Here is a 16,779-nt window from a genome sequence, read left to right on the forward strand (position 1 = left end):
CGCTACATAATGTTGCTCTGGCTAAGTTTCAGAATTCTTTTTTTTTTTTTTTCTGAGACAGAGTATTGCTCTGCTGCCAGGCTGGAGTGCAGTGGTGCCATCTCAGCTCACTGCAACCTCCACCTTACGGGGTTCAAGTGATTCTCCTGCCTCAGCCTCCCGAGTAGCTGGGATTACAGGTGCACACCACCATGCCCAGCTAATTTTTTGTATTTTTTGTAGAGATGGGGTTTCGTCATATTGGCCAGGCTGGTCTCGAACTCCTGGCCTCAAGTGATCTGTCCACTTCGGCCTTCAACAGTGCTGGGATTGCAAGAGTGAGCCACCGCACTCAGCCCACAATTCTTGAAAGACATTTTTCTCATATTTCCAACTTGTCTGTAATTCTAAAATTTCCTATTTTTATTGAAAATTTCATTTTTTATTTCCAAAGGGTAAATCTTTTATTATTGATTCTGATTTTATTTTATTGTGGTAAGAAAATGTGACCTATTTCATTTCTGCATTTTGAAATTTAAGTTCAGTATTGCCTAATAGAGAGTCATATTTTGAATTTATTCAATGAGCACTAGAAAATGAGAGTATGATGTATACATACACAATGTAATTATAACCTGAATTACATTATGATTCTTCATTATCTTATTCTTTATTTGCATAATCTATCAAAGATTCTATCAAAGAGCATCTAAAAGTCTCTACTACAAATGTTCTCTTCACAATTCCTGTATTTTTTCTTTACATATTTTTGTTATTCACTGCATAAAACTTTATGAATATTTTCTTCATTGTGAATTATATTATCATTTTCTTAACAAAAGTACCCTCTTTTTGTTTCTTTCCCTTATGTCTGATATTAATAATTTGCTCCCTACATTTTTTTGTTGTTTGCACTATTTGATGCATTTTTACCAGGGCTTTTTCATCTGGTTTTTAATCTGTCAATCATTTTTATAAACAGTATACAGTTTGTTTTATGACTCAGTCTATGAGTCTATTATTGATAGAGAGTTTACGCTGTTTTACTTAATACCATAACTGATAGGGTTCGTTCTGTTTCTGAATCTTTAAAACCCTTTTGGTTTGGTTCTCCTTTTGCTATATCTTTTTAATTAATTTATTTATTTTTACCCTTTGTTATGCAATGGTTCTTTTTTTTAACAGTAATTTTGAATATATGCACCCTTTGCTAATATCTAATAAACTTTACTCTATTTATCTTTTTTTGTGCCATACATTTATCCCCTCACAACTCCAGAGAAAATTCCCATTTGAAAATAATGGTAGTAAGTCTGCTTTCTCCCTTTTCTTTCACCAAAAATCATCAAAAAGAACAAGAAAAATAAGAAACAAAAAGTGCAAACTCATTTTTAGTGGAACAATGACAGTTAAATCCCCAAATAACACAATAGGGGAAATGGCTCCTACAAGCAGTGGGATCGAGCATGAAAGAAGAAAGAAGACACTGTAGATGTAGATTTCAAAAAAAGTGTCAGAAAGTACATTTTTGGAAAGTGAAGTATATACTTTGAGGTGGAAAAGATCAATCTTGTATTTAGCACAGGATGCAAGGACTACTGGCAGATGCTTCCCTAAGACTGGGTTGGTTCTGTGAATCAGAGGAGTCAAGGCTAAATCAGGACTCTCACAGATCAGTCATATTTGCAAGAAGTAGTCAGTCTTTGTGGCAGAAGAGAGGAAGAGAAGCTTCGCATTGTGAAAACTTCCACACTTCATTATTTCCTTCTGTTGGGGAAGCATAGAGGTTAAAGTGGCTCATACACAACATCCTGGATTCTAAGGAAAATTCTAGTTTCTTGGAACATCCCCAAGATTACCTTCACTTTGTGAACCTTCGACAGATTGCTGGTCAAGGAAAAATCTTACCTGTCTGAAAGATAAGTAAGAAATAGAAAGCAAGACAAGAATGGGAAAAGCAAATGCCAGACCAAAAAACCCACCAAAAAATGTTGCATTAAAGCAGATGAAAATAGTAATCATGTATTCTGGCCTAAACTTTTTTTAAAAATAATATTTATAGCAAAAATCTCTATAAAACAAGAAGAAAAAGAAGAGATACTAGAGTTCAACAGGTGCTGAAAAAATACATCCAGATGATTAAAAAATGTAAAAAATGAAATGTTATAATTTTGAAGTGAAGGCCTTCCTATGACACAAAACCCAGAAGCCATAAAAGAATGATAAATTAGACTCTATTAAAATGAAAAACCAAGATGAAAAACTTCCAGGACCAAAGGCATTAAACAAATGAAGAAATATTTGTAACTAATTTAATAAGGTACTAATTTCCCTAGAATATACAAATCTATTGGGAAAAGAAAGAAAAAAAAAACAACCCACTAAGCTAGACACAGCGGCATGTGCCTGTAGCACCAGCTACTCTGGAGGCTGAGGCAGAAGGATCACTTCAGCTCAGGAGTTCGGGGCTGTTGTGTGCTATGATCACACCTGTGAATGGCCACTGCATTCCAGCCTGGGCAACATAGTGAGACTCCCATCTCTTTAAAAAAAAAAAAAAAAAAAAAACAGAAGAGAAAAAAGGCAAAAAAAAAAAAAAACCTTCACTGAAACAAAATGAGCAAAAGATCTGAACAGATGGATTCAAAAAAGGAAATGTAAATGGCTTTTAAACATAAAAAGATTGTCAATCTTATTTTTAACAAGAAAAATACAAATCAGAGCCATACAAAGATTACATTTCACATGTAAGACTGGAAAAAAAATTTTTAATGATAACATAGTCCCAACATTGTTGGTGGAAATATAATTGTTACAATCAATTATGTCTGAACAGTGCTTTGGCAACACCTATCAAAATTACAAAAACCTATATCCTTTAACCAAGAATTTCACTTCTAAAGATTTATCCTACAGATATACTGGCCTGTGTGGAAGATGACAATGTACTCAGTCATTGCTGTATTGTTTGTAATAGCACAAGACTGAAAACATCCTCGTGGGCGGTGTTTAAAGAAATGGTGGTATGTCAGTTCATGGTAGATGGCATCAATAGCCCCATTTCTTCAGACCTTCCTTTACACAAGCCTTTTGCCATGCCACTTTGTAGGGCCCTTTCACTTTGTTTGGGATGTAATTCCATGCACCTTGGCTTTAGTATGTGATTTGCTTTGGTTTATAGCATATTGGCAGATGTTAGGCAAGCAGTATCTTAAAAAGGATTTACATGATTTACGTTTGCTTGCTCTTGTGCTTAACCTGTTGCCATAAGAATAGCATGTTTAGGCTATTTCACTGGTCTTAGGAGGAAGGTCAGAGCCATTTGGAACAGAGTTGTTTTATATCCATACTATGGAATGCTACTTATAAAAAAATAAAAAGGAATGAATTATCGATACTTACAATAACACGGATGAATCTCACATTAGTTATGCACAGTGAAAGAAGCCAAATTAAAAGAGCACCAACTTTATGATTCTATTTATATGAAATCTAGAAAATTTAAATTAGTCTGTAGTGACAGAAATTAAATTAATGGTTGCCTGAGGATGGGATGGTTTAAGGGCGGCATGTGAATAGAGGGATTACAAAAGGACATGAGAAAACTTTTGAGAATAATGAATACGTTCATTTTCTTGATAGTAATGATGGTTTCAAGGATGTATACATAATTATCCAATGGTACACTTCAATTATATGCAAAAGAACATTAAAAAAGAAATGTAATGTTAGGATTTGTAAGGCTGAGTAATAGGTGCACAGGTTTTTATGCTGTTCTGTATTGTTGAGTGTGTTTGCTGTATTTAAAAATAAAATATTTAAATTCACTTAAAAAAGAAATCTAGATTTTCACATCAGAGTTAGTTGATTTAACAAAGTAGTGGGAACAACAAATTTCATGAAAATAGAGCCCATGTCTGTCTTCTTCACCATTGCTTCCTCAGTTCTCAGAACAGTGCCTAGAAGCACTCATCACATACTCCAAAAATATTTATGTAATAAATAATGAATAAACTCAGTTTATCCATAGCTACTAGTAATTTCCCTATTTTAAAGAAGCTTCCAATTCCTTATGATGAAACTTGGAAGTTATCGAACAATTTTTGAGTGATGGCACATACTTTGGAGGGTGGTTGTGGAGATTATCAGAAACCTTGAAGTGTCTTTAGTTTTCTTATGAAGATGCAGGGCTTGTATTCAGGCAGTCTGCAACAACAAAGCTCTATTAGTTGTTTACAGGTGGCAGCCTCTGATTATTGAACACTGTTTGATCAGTTTTTGTGCCATACTGGTTGCAAACCGTTTTGAATCTCACCCCTTTGTAAATGTCACCCACATCAATATTTTGGGGGTGAAAGTACCGCCTGATGTCACACATTTCTCTACCGGGTTTCTATTGAAGTTCAGTATGGGCATCCTTTGGTGTGTGCCCCGCACCCAACTCCTTTATCCTATCGCTACCCACACTGTTCAGGCCATATGGTTTGACACTGGCTTGACTTTATCTCCCTAGTTAAGCTCCTTAACTTCCTTTTTTTCACTCCAAGGTAATATGATAAATTTCTATTTCAAAGTACATAACATCTCTAGTACTCTCTTCCTTAGCTTTCATATGGGGATCTAAATTTGATACTCAATTTTGTATTTGAACATTTCAAACAGTGCTAAGAACCATCCTATTGACCTCTGTATTTTAACTCACTGGGTAGGACTTATAATAAAATAGAGAAGCCTGGGTCATGTACCCAAACTTTGGCCTAACGCTATCTGCTGAACCTCTGCCATGGATATGCAATAGATTGCCTGTCAATGTGCCAGTATTGTAAATTTTTTTAAGGGAAATTGCTGGCTTTGGAGGTAGCCCTGTTTGGAAGACAAAGTGAGTACTACAGAAAAGCACATTAATAAACATTTATTGAACTGTGTTAAATTTAATTGAAATTAATTGAGTTTGGATGGTGGCTACAATTGCAACTGCTCCCATTTCTTGACTGAATTCCAGTCTTGGTTTAGAACCCATCTTGGGTAAGAACATTTTGACAAGAATCCCTGCAAACATCTTCCGTGTCACCTCCGAAGTGGAAATAATGTACATTAAAAAAGGATATTAGGTAACATTGCTAATTTAAATATTTACCATAACTTCCTTTTAAAAGACAATAATTTCAATCAAATAAGATAGGTTCTTGAAACAGATAAGTGTCTTATCCTATTCTTTCTCTAGGTATTTTTTCACTTCATCATAATCAAACTTGACTCTTTAATAAAGAATTATTAGAATTTCTCTTGGTCATTACTTAAAATATAGAGGCTGACTAAATACCATGTATCTGAAATATTAAATTCAAAAGAGAAAAAAATTTTAAATAAGTTTTCTGTGATGTTATGCTACTTAGAATTATGTCTGTATTCTTACCTTCACAGTGAATAAATCACCAAGACTTGTAGATTCTCTTAAAAATTTATACAGGTTGTTTTCAAACTTTCAAAAAATCAATGTTTCTTCTTCACAATATTTTATAAAGCCTTTTTTATTTTACAAAATGCATCTTGATAAATAATTTAAAAAGTACATACTATATTAACTAGAATATTAAAGGATAAATAAAAGAAGAATATTAGTTAATATGTAGCACTACATATAAATACTTGGGCATAACTACGATAGAAACTCAATGAAGTGGTGATATTCTTCTGCCTACTTATAAACAAGCTAGGATTTAAGAGAAGTTAGACCAATATTCAAATGAATGTTGAAATAATTTTTAAAAATATTAGACATTTTGAAATAAGAATCACTGCAAATGTAACAACTACAAATGCAAACTGATACTATATTGATGATCTGAGTAGAATGAGTGGCATGGTTATCAGAGATAAAATTTTGGTAAAGTTCCAAACAAAACAATATATATTGTTTCCTTACAGTGTTAACTGTTCCTGGAAAATTCAACGTATAATAAAACCATACTATAAGTATTTGGAGCTTAAATGTAAAATGAAGTTGTTTCTAGGCTGAGAACTTCAGGTTTTTATCTAGTCACACTGGGGATAAATTAAAATTTCTCTTGGTCATTATTTAAAATATAGAAGTTATCTGTAATCTTATATTTAGAATTATAAATGTATGTATTGTTACCTTCAAAGTGAATAAATCACCAAGATTTGTAGATTATCTTAAAAATTTTTATAGGTTGTTTTCAAACTTTCTAAAAGCCAATATTTTCTTTTCAAAAAATATTTTAGTGGCACTGGGTGCAGTGCCACTCTGTTGGGAACCACTGTTCCATGTAATCTTATGGTCTATATAATAACCAGTGGTCTATATAATCTATTGTTGCCTTGCCAATCTTTTCCTTCTACTTTAGTTTGGCTCTTTGTCATCCCTCACTTGAACCACCCAACTTTTCTCTCTGTTTTGTCTTCTTTGTCTATAATTTACCTTTTAAACAGATAGCAAATGTGATCTTTCTAAAATGCACTTGTGATCATGTCATCCCTCTGCTGAAAACTTCCATTGGCCCCCCATCACTCAGGATAATACAAACCTTTTATTTTTATTTATTTATTTTTTTGAGATGGAGTTTCACTCCTGTTGCCAAGGCTGGAGTGCAATGGCATGATCTCAGCTCACTGCAACCTCCACCTTCTGGGTTCAAGTGATTCTCCTGCCTCAGCCTCCCAAGTAGCTGGGATTACAGATGCCTGCCACCAGGCCTGGCTAATTTTTGTATTTTTAGTAGAGATGGGGTTTCACCATGTTGGCCACGCTGGTCTCGAACTCCTGACCTCAGCTGATCCACCTACCTCGGCCTTCCAAAGTACTGGGATTACAGGTGTGAGCCACCATGCCAGGCTGGAATAATACAAACCTTTTAGACTGGAGGTCAGTAATCTGATCCCACTAAATTTCAAATCTCACCTTGTACCACTCCCTCCAATGTATCAATGTGTGCTGTGCTCTGCTTTGTGTAGTCTCTAGAACTGAATAAATTCTCAGGTTTTTCACCAACTTGCCGATCTTTTGTCTGTCAAGTTCTTACTAACATAGTCTTCCTTCAGTATGCATGGGGATTGGTTTCAAGAGCCCTGTGGATACCAAACCCCACAGATGCTAAAGTTTCTGATATAAAATGACATAGTATTTTTTTATAACCTACATGCATCCTCCCACAGACTTTAAATCATCTCTAGATTATCATACCCAATATAATGTAAATGCTATGCAAATAGTTGTTTTACTGTATTTTTCATTTGTATTATTTTTTACTGTTGTAGCATTATTTTTTCCTGTTTCTTTTTTCTGTATATTTTCAATCCCCAGCTGATTGAATACACGGGGCAGAAGCTGAGTATACAGGCCGATTGTGCTTCAAAATGCAACTCAGGCATTTCCACCCTAGTAAAACCTTCTGACAGTCTCCCCACTCCATCCCATGTTTGCACTTACCGTATGTTTTGTAACTATTTGCTTTCCCATTAGACTGTGAGTTATCTGAGGGCAGGGATTTTTATCCTATCTACCCTTGTATTTCAAGTGCATCAAATAGGTGGACAGTATATAGCGGGGTCTTAAAAAAGCATTTATTGAATTAATGTTGAGTGATCCTGCTGTAATGGTGACTATTTGGAGAGTTTGGATATTACTATATACAATCATCCCTTGTTATCCTCAGGGAGTTGCTTCCAGGATCCTTGCGGATACCAAAATCCAGGGATGCTCAAGTTCCTTAAGTTAAATGGCATAGTATTTGCATATAACCTATGGACATCCTCCTATATACTTTAATTCATCTCTAGGTTGCTCATAATACCTAATACAATGTAAATGTTATGTAAATAGTTTTTATGCTGTATTTTTTTGTGGTTTTTTTTATTAACATTTTATGTTTATTTATCTCATTTTTATATAAGGGCTTGTTTGAACTGCAATAACATTGGTTTTGGCTGTAAGAGAAATTACATATCATTAGATAACTTTATTTCATTAGGGGAAGAGGTTTTTCTCCTTAATTTCTCAAGTGAAAGTTCAGTGGAATTCTGACATATGTTTATTCTGCCCTGAAAACCTCAGTGTCTTCCAAAGAAACAACTACTGAATCTGAAATAGTGAATGGGTCCAGGGATAGCCTGCCATATTGGAAATAAAGTAGGAGAACAGAGTTTAAACCACAGGCTGGCCACTTACTAGGTAATCTGGACCAAGTGGTTCTCTAAGTCTCAGTGTTATTATGTGTAAAATAGAGGTAATGGAGAGTTGAGAAGGAAAATGAAATCATGCATATGAAAATATGTAAATGGTTAAAGCACTATACAAATAGAAACTCTTAATAACCATTATTAATGGTGGAGGAAGGCTGGACCACCACATTCTGGACCATCAACCCTGCCCCTCAGAAAGGAGTGTTAATTCACCAAAAGGTTTGTTTTGTTTTTGAGGTGGAGTCTTGCTCTGTCATCCAGTCTGGAGTGTAGTGGCATGATCTCAGCTCACTGCAATCTCTGCCTCCCAGGTTCAAGTGATTCTCTTGCCTCAGCCTCCCCAGTAGCTGGGATTACAGGTGTGCACCACCACACTTGGCTAACTTTTGTATTTTTAGTAGAGACAGGGTTTCACCATGTTGGCTAGGCTGGTCTCAAACTCCTGATCTCAAGTGATTTGCCCACCTCGGCCTCCCACAGTGCTGGGATTACAGGCATGAGCCACCGCGCCCTGCTGTATTGCTTAGGAAATAATGATAATTTTTTAAAAAGTCTGTACATGTTTGGTTCAGATGTAACCACCCATTTATTTTCTTTTGATTATTTTCTATCTGTGGTTTGGTTGAATCCAGGGATATAGAACCCACAGATATAGAGGGCTATATTTTTCTTTTACTAGCCGCAGCACTTATTGTACTGACTGATGAGACAAATACATTCCTTTTGACCCATTCCTTAATTTACATTTTACTTTAGTTTACACATCTCAGAAGTTTACACACTTCAAGTACTTAAAGTGACTTGAAGTTTTCTTTTTAATCACTGACAATTTTAAAAAATTATTTCTTCATGAATATACACATATACATGTACAATTTCTGGTGGGTTTTTTTTTTTTTTTTTTGTCAAATTGACCCTCAAGTTGATGGTTTTAGTTTTAAGTGTTGGTTCATGGTTTTTTGACATATGTGCTTGTTGTTCACCAACACTTGACTTTGTTTTAGTTACTTTTCAGATCTGACAGTTTTCACGTGTATTCAATTCCTTTGCTAATTTGAGACAGAGATCAAAATGAACTAGTCTTAAATAATCTTGGTGTTTGTCCATGCTGGACCACGCGGCTTCTCTCTGCTAGTTACCATAAGGGTGGTCATAACCACTCATCATTCTTTTTATACCTATTTATTCCTTGCCTAATCAGGATTTAGAAGCAATATTTCAATAATTTACTACTGACTTTCCTTTGGGTCATTAGAAGAAAAATGGTCCCTGTAGAAACAATCTTGTAAATAAATGATAGTGTAGAAACGTTTCCTGCAGGCTACAAAGTGACCTCTTGAAATACACTAAATTGGTTCTTATCTGTCGGGACATTCAGATCCTTCCTTTATTTCACTTTGGAATAGAAGAATAAATTGGGAAAAATGTGCTCTGCAATCCTCTGCCCTGCCTTAGAGTATGTAAATAGCATCATGCACAAAAAATTTTCAAGCTGTCAGGAGTAAAGTAAGTATGATAATTTGGGATAATTAAATGCTTAAGACAATCAAAATAGAACTGATCCTAGTAAGCTTTTCTCACTTGGAGGAAACTTCTTTAAAAAGTATTTACTGATCTAAATGTCTTTCAATAAGGCTGTTAAATAAATTGTGGTACAACAATCTACAGTTTGAAATATTTCAGTCTTTAAAAAAGGAGAAGCATACCTATATGTATGCACACAGAAAAATAGATGGTTGTTTTTAAAAAAGAAAAAATGCGAATAATTCATATACTATGATCCCATTCACATAAAAAATAGCAGAAACAATTGAAATATTTATAAAGAGAGAGGGCATTGACTGGAAAGATACACACACCAAACCGTACTCAATTCTGCATTGAGAGCTTTTGCTTCCGTGTCTATGTCTTTCGTTTACCAGATTATCAACTGCTGTATTGCCAGATCAAATACAGGATACTCAATTAAAGTTGAATTTCAACTATAAGCAACAAAATTTTGGGTGCATTTCCCAAATATTGCATGGGACACACTTAAAAGGTATTCATTGTTTTGTTCATTAAAAGGTATTCATTGTTTTGCCAGATTTGTTAAATCTGGCAACTCTACCTTAAAGAGACTTTAAATTATTTATCCTTGTATTCCTATTACTAACATAGTTACAGAGATATAGTGGATTACAATAAATAACATGAGGGGGGTAATTTAGGAGAGAACTATCAAAACAGATGATTTTGCTAAGTATGTGACATATTTATCTCAATTTTCATGGAAATATCTTCAAATTTCATTAGTGGTCCTATTATAGAAGACACACAGCAGGCAAGTGTCAGAGCTAGAAATGACCCTAAATTTCTGGGTCCCTATTCAGCAGCCATAAGCAATTGCCAGCTGCAGGAAGGTGGAGGCAGAAGAAGTAAAAAGGGAACAAGAGGTGAGGTTTACGTTCTGCCTAAGTGGAACAGAGTAGAACTTTGCACAAACTCCTTAATCTTGCCTAGAGGCAGAATGTGGGATGTACTATATGGGAGGCAGGCAAATCTGGGCCTGGTTCCCACCTCCATCACTCATTTGAACAAGTTATGTAATTTATTTTTGCGTCAATTTTCTTGTCTGTAAAACTGGAGTGAGAGGACCTAACTTGAGTACCGAAGTGAAGAGTCAATGAGATAATATCTGTGATCAGCACAGTGCTTGGCAAGTGGAAGACACTCAGTCAAGCTAACTTAAAGCCCCAGTTTTTTCATTTGTACAACAGAACAACAACAATAATAGCAACAAGCAATAATACTAACAATATTTATCTTGCCTCTGAGTTGTCTTGAAAATCAGATGAGTATATATATTATGTTTCTAAATTCTAAAGTGTATCTCACTCTCCTAACAAAGCAGTTGGTCTTCAGATCAGGACCAGAGTTAATACCATGCCAGAGCATTATTACAGGTTTTTTCCAATGAGTAATTAATTTTATTTTTAAACTTATCATACAGTAAAATTGACTCTTTTGGTTTACAAAGTTCTATGAGTTATAACACGTTGTATAGGTTTATGTAACCACCACCACAATCCGGATACAGAACATGACTACAGCTTTAGAGATTCTTTTTCAAAGTGTTTTACATTCATGTTGCAAAACACTTTTAAAAATAAGAAAAGAGATGTAGATAAACGTGCTGAAGATGCAAATTAATGAAACCAGCTTTTGTGCACAAATCTCTGCAGTTTCCAGTGTTTTCAGCTTTTGTCTGAGCCATTTTTGCTGTCGGCTTTGCAGACTATCTCTTTCTATAAAAGTAATCAGGCGTCCGTTGGAGAGTTGGGGTCTTTCTTCACACTAAAGGCACATGTCCCAGGCACAAGCCTCAGGATCCTTATTTGATCTTTTTTAATACGACCAGGTCTTAAATTTCCGAACCATGTTTTCCCTAATTGCCATTTTCTCTCTAAAATGAAGAAGCCTGGAAGAACCTTCTTATCCCTTCGGGGAAATTATTTAATTGGGACAAAGGGGATGTGGAGTTACAGAGAGCAACGATAGGGCTTTCAGAACCCAAAACCTGTCTGGTATAATAACAGATCCTTCCGGTAACCAACCATTCAATTTGTCCCTCTCCCCAACCCCATCCTCTCCATCACCATCTGCCAGATGCCCCCTGGGACAATCGACTTTGAAACCAAACTTCTCTCCCAGGTCAGCTCCTGCAATCCCCACTCCTCATCCTTGGAGCTTTCTCCACAGAAGTGACTTGACACACCGCGCTACATCTGGGGAGGGGGGCGGGTCCGCTTTCCGGGAGACTCAAGTCTTTGCTATTTGCCTTTTGTTTCTGGGATGCCTTTGGCTGCCTTTCTCTTCCATCTGCTTTTAATTTTGGTAAGAGAAAAGCTAATGAATCAGGAATGAATCTCCTCTCCACTAATCTTTTTTTTTTCTTTCTCTCTCTCTCTCTCTTAAAGTTGGCGCGCTCTCTTCACAAGTTCCATCACTACCCAAGAAGTGAGGGGGCGGGGGGGACAGGCGGGAAGGCATTAATTACACCTAAATCTGAAGTTTGCGGCCTCAAGTACCACTTTGATGGGGAGAGCTTCTGAAGCTTCCATACAACCTGCCGTGCCTTTGCTGCTGCCGCAGTAGATTTTCAGCTCATTTCTTTCTGCTGCTGCTTCGCGCTGCTCTGTCATGCCTAAATCTATCTCGTCACTGCCAAAGGTGCCTGAATCAGGGTGAATTCCACGAGATTCACCAGCGGTTTTGCTCCAGTCCAAGGTAAATACAGTATGCAAAATGAGGAACCACCCAAGGATGTCGGGGAGGGGGGAGAGAAAGGGATTCCCTCACCTTTTCCGGCACATTCCTCGTTAATTTCCACCAGGAGGAGGCGCGCAGCCCAGCTCCCCTAGTCTCTCTTCTTAAATCCCCCTACCTACGGCTGCCGAGGTTGGCCGCGCGTCGGGAATCTCCCCGACAGTCCTGGCCCTCCCCCGCCCCCCGGGTTGGTTTTTCCCAGCTGCGGAGGTTGGGAGGTTGGGCCAGGGGCTGGGGTGCGAAGAGAGTCGGCGCCCGCAACGCGGAGCCGGGAAGTCGTCGCTACTCTGGTGGAACTCAGAGTTGGTTCTGGAGGCGGCGGACGCGGAGGTGAGCAGTGGGAGCCCGCGGCCTGGGAGAGACCCGGGAGGCGTCGTTGGGGCCCCTCCCCATCCTCGGGTGGAGAGTAGGGTTGGTTCGGGTTGCCACTGTACCCCGAGTCCCACTGCTGCTTTGTTCCCAGACTCTCCCCTCCTCTTTGGAGATGACTTGAACCCCTTTGAGATCCGAGGGGCTGGCGGGGCGCGGGCTGGGGGGCGACAGTTGTAGCTCCACTTCCTGCTAATGCGAGAAGGTACAAAAAGAGATCAAAAAGTCCTGTAACCTGAAACTTCCCTCGCATCCTAACCGGGACCTGGTGGAGAGGTCTGGGCGGGGGCGGAGACACCCGGAGGCCGACCTTCCGCCGAGGCGGTGCAGGAAGGAACGGGAGAGGGAGAAGTTTGGTAGGGAAGGAATTGGGGATTAAGCGGTAAGTTAGACGCGGGAGACGAGTCTCCTCGGGAAAGGCGGAGGGCGGGAGGCCGGTCGGGTTTATTTAGTGTGGGCCAGGGAAGAAGGAAGACTTTGCGGTCTGGGTGTCGGATGCGCGTCCCCCTCCGGAGTAAAAGTGACCGGAGGGGTTGGGGAGGCGAGGCCGGGGCGGGCTTTTGGAAGGAGGTCTCTGGGACAGACTGGAGACGACTAGACTCGAAAAGGCCGGTTTTTGCACTCCGGAAGCCGCGGCAGCCACCGCTGTTCACGCCTCTCTCCTGCTTGTCCCAGGTCCCTCAGAGGATCCAGCGAGGGGCGCCAACAAGAGGCGAAGAGGTGGCACCAGGGCGGCGGCAGGAAGAGGAGCGGGAGCAGGAGCGCGGAGCGGAGCGTCCCGACCCGCCGTGCGTACTTTCTGGAGGGAAGGGGCGGGGGAATCGGCCCCTGAGGGAAGCGCCCGGTGGCGAGGGGGTTAGCCAAGTTCCGGCTGCGGCGCCACTCCCTCGGTTCCACGAGAGGAAAGTTTTTTTTTTCCAGACGCTTCCGCCGGCTCGCGCCCTCCGGGCCCAGCCTCCCGAGCCTTCGGAGCGGGCGCCGTCCCAGCCCAGCTCCGGGGAAACGCGAGCCGCGATGCCTGGGGGGTGCTCCCGGGGCCCCGCCGCCGGGGACGGGCGTCTGCGGCTGGCGCGACTAGCGCTGGTACTCCTGGGCTGGGTCTCCTCGTCTTCTCCCACCTCCTCGGCATCCTCCTTCTCCTCCTCGGCGCCGTTCCTGGCTTCCGCCGTGTCCGCCCAGCCCCCGCTGCCGGACCAGTGCCCCGCGCTGTGCGAGTGCTCCGAGGCAGCGCGCACAGTCAAGTGCGTTAACCGCAATCTGACCGAGGTGCCCACGGACCTGCCCGCCTACGTGCGCAACCTCTTCCTTACCGGCAACCAGCTGGCCGTGCTCCCTGCCGGCGCCTTCGCCCGCCGGCCGCCGCTGGCGGAGCTGGCCGCGCTCAACCTCAGCGGCAGCCGCCTGGACGAGGTGCGCGCGGGCGCCTTCGAGCATCTGCCCAGCCTGCGCCAGCTCGACCTCAGCCACAACCCACTGGCCGACCTCAGTCCCTTCGCTTTCTCGGGCAGCAATGCCAGCGTCTCGGCCCCCAGTCCCCTTGTGGAACTGATCCTGAACCACATCGTGCCCCCTGAAGATGAGCGGCAGAACCGGAGCTTCGAGGGCATGGTGGTGGCGGCCCTGCTGGCGGGCCGTGCACTGCAGGGGCTCCGCCGCTTGGAGCTGGCCAGCAACCACTTCCTTTACCTGCCGCGGGATGTGCTGGCCCAACTGCCCAGCCTCAGGCACCTGGACTTAAGTAATAATTCGCTGGTGAGCCTGACCTACGTGTCCTTCCGCAACCTGACACATCTAGAAAGCCTCCACCTGGAGGACAATGCCCTCAAGGTCCTTCACAATGGCACCCTGGCTGAGTTGCAAGGTCTACCCCACATTAGGGTTTTCCTGGACAACAATCCCTGGGTCTGCGACTGCCACATGGCAGACATGGTGACCTGGCTCAAGGAAACAGAGGTAGTGCAGGGCAAAGACCGGCTCACCTGTGCATATCCGGAAAAAATGAGGAATCGGGTCCTCTTGGAACTCAACAGTGCTGACCTGGACTGTGACCCGATTCTTCCCCCATCCCTGCAAACCTCTTATGTCTTCCTGGGTATTGTTTTAGCCCTGATAGGCGCTATTTTCCTCCTGGTTTTGTATTTGAACCGCAAGGGGATAAAAAAGTGGATGCATAACATCAGAGATGCCTGCAGGGATCACATGGAAGGGTATCATTACAGATATGAAATCAATGCGGACCCCAGATTAACGAACCTCAGTTCTAACTCGGATGTCTGAGAAATATTAGAGGACAGACCAAGGACAACTCTGCATGAGATGTAGACTTAAGCTTTATCCCTACTAGGCTTGCTCCACTTTCATCCTCCACTATAGATACAACGGACTTTGACTAAAAGCAGTGAAGGGGATTTGCTTCCTTGTTATGTAAAGTTTCTCGGTGTGTTCTGTTAATGTAAGACGATGAACAGTTGTGTATAGTGTTTTACCCTCTTCTTTTTCTTGGAACTCCTCAACACGTATGGAGGGATTTTTCAGGTTTCAGCATGAACATGGGCTTCTTGCTGTCTGTCTCTCTCTCAGTACAGTTCAAGGTGTAGCAAGTGTACCCACACAGATAGCATTCAACAAAAGCTGCCTCAACTTTTTCGAGAAAAATACTTTATTCATAAATATCAGTTTTATTCTCATGTACCTAAGTTGTGGAGAAAATAATTGCATCCTATAAACTGCCTGCAGACGTTAGCAGGCTCTTCAAAATAACTCCATGGTGCACAGGAGCACCTGCATCCAAGAGCATGCTTACATTTTACTGTTCTGCATATTACAAAAAATAACTTGCAACTTCATAACTTCTTTGACAAAGTAAATTACTTTTTTGATTGCAGTTTATATGAAAATGTACTGATTTTTTTTTAATAAACTGCATCGAGATCCAACCGACTGAATTGTTAAAAAAAAAAAAAATAAAGATTCTTAAAAGAATTACAGTGTGTGCAAGTTTGCTTTGAAAAAAGGATGAAGGGCAGGAGTATTCAATGGTCTTGGTTCCGATGATAATTATTACTTAACATAGCTGAGAATCAAACTGTAGCAATGTCTAATATAAATAGACTTGGGAGATCGTTTTGAAATGGTGGATCCTTTTAGTATTTAAATGGAGAGTTTGAGTATTCATGTGACTGTATGGTCCCAAAGTTAATGCTATTTATGAAACAGTTTTGTAAGAACATAATGAAGTTGGTAAAAGCTAAGCGTTCTGCACAATAAACAGTTCCCAGTTTGGGGCTTTTTCAAGGCTAATGAAGTTATTGTTGGTCTAGAAAAATAGTATTTACTTAATAAAACTCTGTTTGAAATTGTTCTGTGGATTTTTAGAGCAGAATTTGAAACAAATGTAATGCAAATAAATATAAAGATAAAGTGTCTTAAAGACAATATTCTGAAATAAAAGATATAAAATATAATTTAAAAAATATTTCTCAATGTCTTAATGTAAATTGAAACTTAGATTTTCTTGAGGATATTTTCAAAAAAACATTTAAAGTGGAACATAAATGTTCTTTAGTTTATCAGAGACCCAGCTAATATGTTTAAAAAGTTGACTTGACATGGTTGAATATGAACTTGAGGAAATAACCACAGATAAATGTCTACATCTGTAAACACGTGTCTCAAGTATTTATAGGTTCTTATCTTCAGTTCAGTGTTTAAGAATTTGAGGATATTTTGATTTTAGCTAAGCTGTTCATAATGTAAGTATATACACCTTTGTGAAGAATAAATCACATTTAGGTGTAAATACAGGCAATCATTAATTGATACATCCATAATATACAAGGCTTTTATTATTTTTTCAGTTTATTATCTGTCATTTAATCTGAAAAGTAAATTCCATTAATCAGTCTTCAGGCTCTTTTATCA

General features: G+C 39.8%; 1 protein-coding gene and 1 long non-coding RNA gene across 4 annotated transcripts, besides 6 other annotated features; one reads left to right on the forward strand and one right to left on the reverse strand.

The window, feature by feature from the left end:
* Positions 1-1,689: 1,689 nt before the first annotated feature.
* Positions 1,690-12,568, reverse strand: LOC105377875 (uncharacterized). The gene is made up of 3 exons (XR_942738.4): positions 12,523-12,568; positions 4,101-4,185; positions 1,690-1,746 (listed from the first exon to the last, which is right to left on the reverse strand). It is a non-coding gene; the product is annotated as an uncharacterized LOC105377875 (long non-coding RNA).
* Positions 11,894-16,331, forward strand: TPBG (trophoblast glycoprotein). Of its 3 annotated transcripts, NM_006670.5 has the most exons (3): positions 11,894-12,450; positions 12,557-12,819; positions 13,534-16,331. In NM_006670.5, the coding sequence occupies exon 3, from the start codon at positions 13,873-13,875 to the stop codon at positions 15,133-15,135; it is 1,263 nt and encodes a 420-aa protein (NP_006661.1). In that variant the 5' UTR covers positions 11,894-12,450; positions 12,557-12,819; positions 13,534-13,872; the 3' UTR covers positions 15,136-16,331. The 3 variants fall into 3 exon arrangements, with proteins under 3 accessions (NP_006661.1, NP_001363851.1, NP_001159864.1); NM_001376922.1 differs by lacking the exon at positions 11,894-12,450 and having other exon boundaries at positions 12,728-12,819; NM_001166392.2 differs by lacking the exons at positions 11,894-12,450; positions 12,557-12,819 and adding an exon at positions 13,155-13,240.
* Positions 12,161-12,674: an enhancer, noted in NCBI's record as "H3K27ac hESC enhancer chr6:83072967-83073480 (GRCh37/hg19 assembly coordinates)". NCBI's record gives its function as "activates a minimal SCP1, AML or CMV promoter by ChIP-STARR-seq in primed H9 embryonic stem cells {active_cell/tissue: H9 hESC(primed)}" and the evidence as "EXISTENCE:reporter gene assay evidence [ECO:0000049][PMID:30033119]".
* Positions 12,675-13,186: an enhancer, noted in NCBI's record as "H3K27ac hESC enhancer chr6:83073481-83073992 (GRCh37/hg19 assembly coordinates)". NCBI's record gives its function as "activates a minimal SCP1, AML or CMV promoter by ChIP-STARR-seq in primed H9 embryonic stem cells {active_cell/tissue: H9 hESC(primed)}" and the evidence as "EXISTENCE:reporter gene assay evidence [ECO:0000049][PMID:30033119]".
* Positions 13,338-14,240: an enhancer, noted in NCBI's record as "H3K27ac-H3K4me1 hESC enhancer chr6:83074144-83075046 (GRCh37/hg19 assembly coordinates)". NCBI's record gives its function as "activates a minimal SCP1, AML or CMV promoter by ChIP-STARR-seq in naive H9 embryonic stem cells {active_cell/tissue: H9 hESC(naive)}" and the evidence as "EXISTENCE:reporter gene assay evidence [ECO:0000049][PMID:30033119]".
* Positions 14,209-14,288: a silencer, noted in NCBI's record as "silent region_17354". NCBI's record gives its function as "represses an Ori minimal core promoter by ATAC-STARR-seq in GM12878 lymphoblastoid cells {active_cell/tissue: GM12878}" and the evidence as "EXISTENCE:reporter gene assay evidence [ECO:0000049][PMID:35858748]".
* Positions 14,209-15,142: a biological region, named in NCBI's record as "H3K27ac-H3K4me1 hESC enhancer GRCh37_chr6:83075047-83075948".
* Positions 14,241-15,142: an enhancer, noted in NCBI's record as "H3K27ac-H3K4me1 hESC enhancer chr6:83075047-83075948 (GRCh37/hg19 assembly coordinates)". NCBI's record gives its function as "activates a minimal SCP1, AML or CMV promoter by ChIP-STARR-seq in naive H9 embryonic stem cells {active_cell/tissue: H9 hESC(naive)}" and the evidence as "EXISTENCE:reporter gene assay evidence [ECO:0000049][PMID:30033119]".

Source organism: Homo sapiens, chromosome 6, assembly GCF_000001405.40.
Source record: "Homo sapiens chromosome 6, GRCh38.p14 Primary Assembly".
Lineage (NCBI taxonomy): Eukaryota > Metazoa > Chordata > Mammalia > Primates > Hominidae > Homo > Homo sapiens.

Coding starts and splice junctions, on each gene's coding strand:
- TPBG (NM_006670.5), top strand. CDS start 13,873: ATGCCTGGGGGGTGCTCCCGGGGCCCCGCCGCCGGGGACGGGCGTCTG.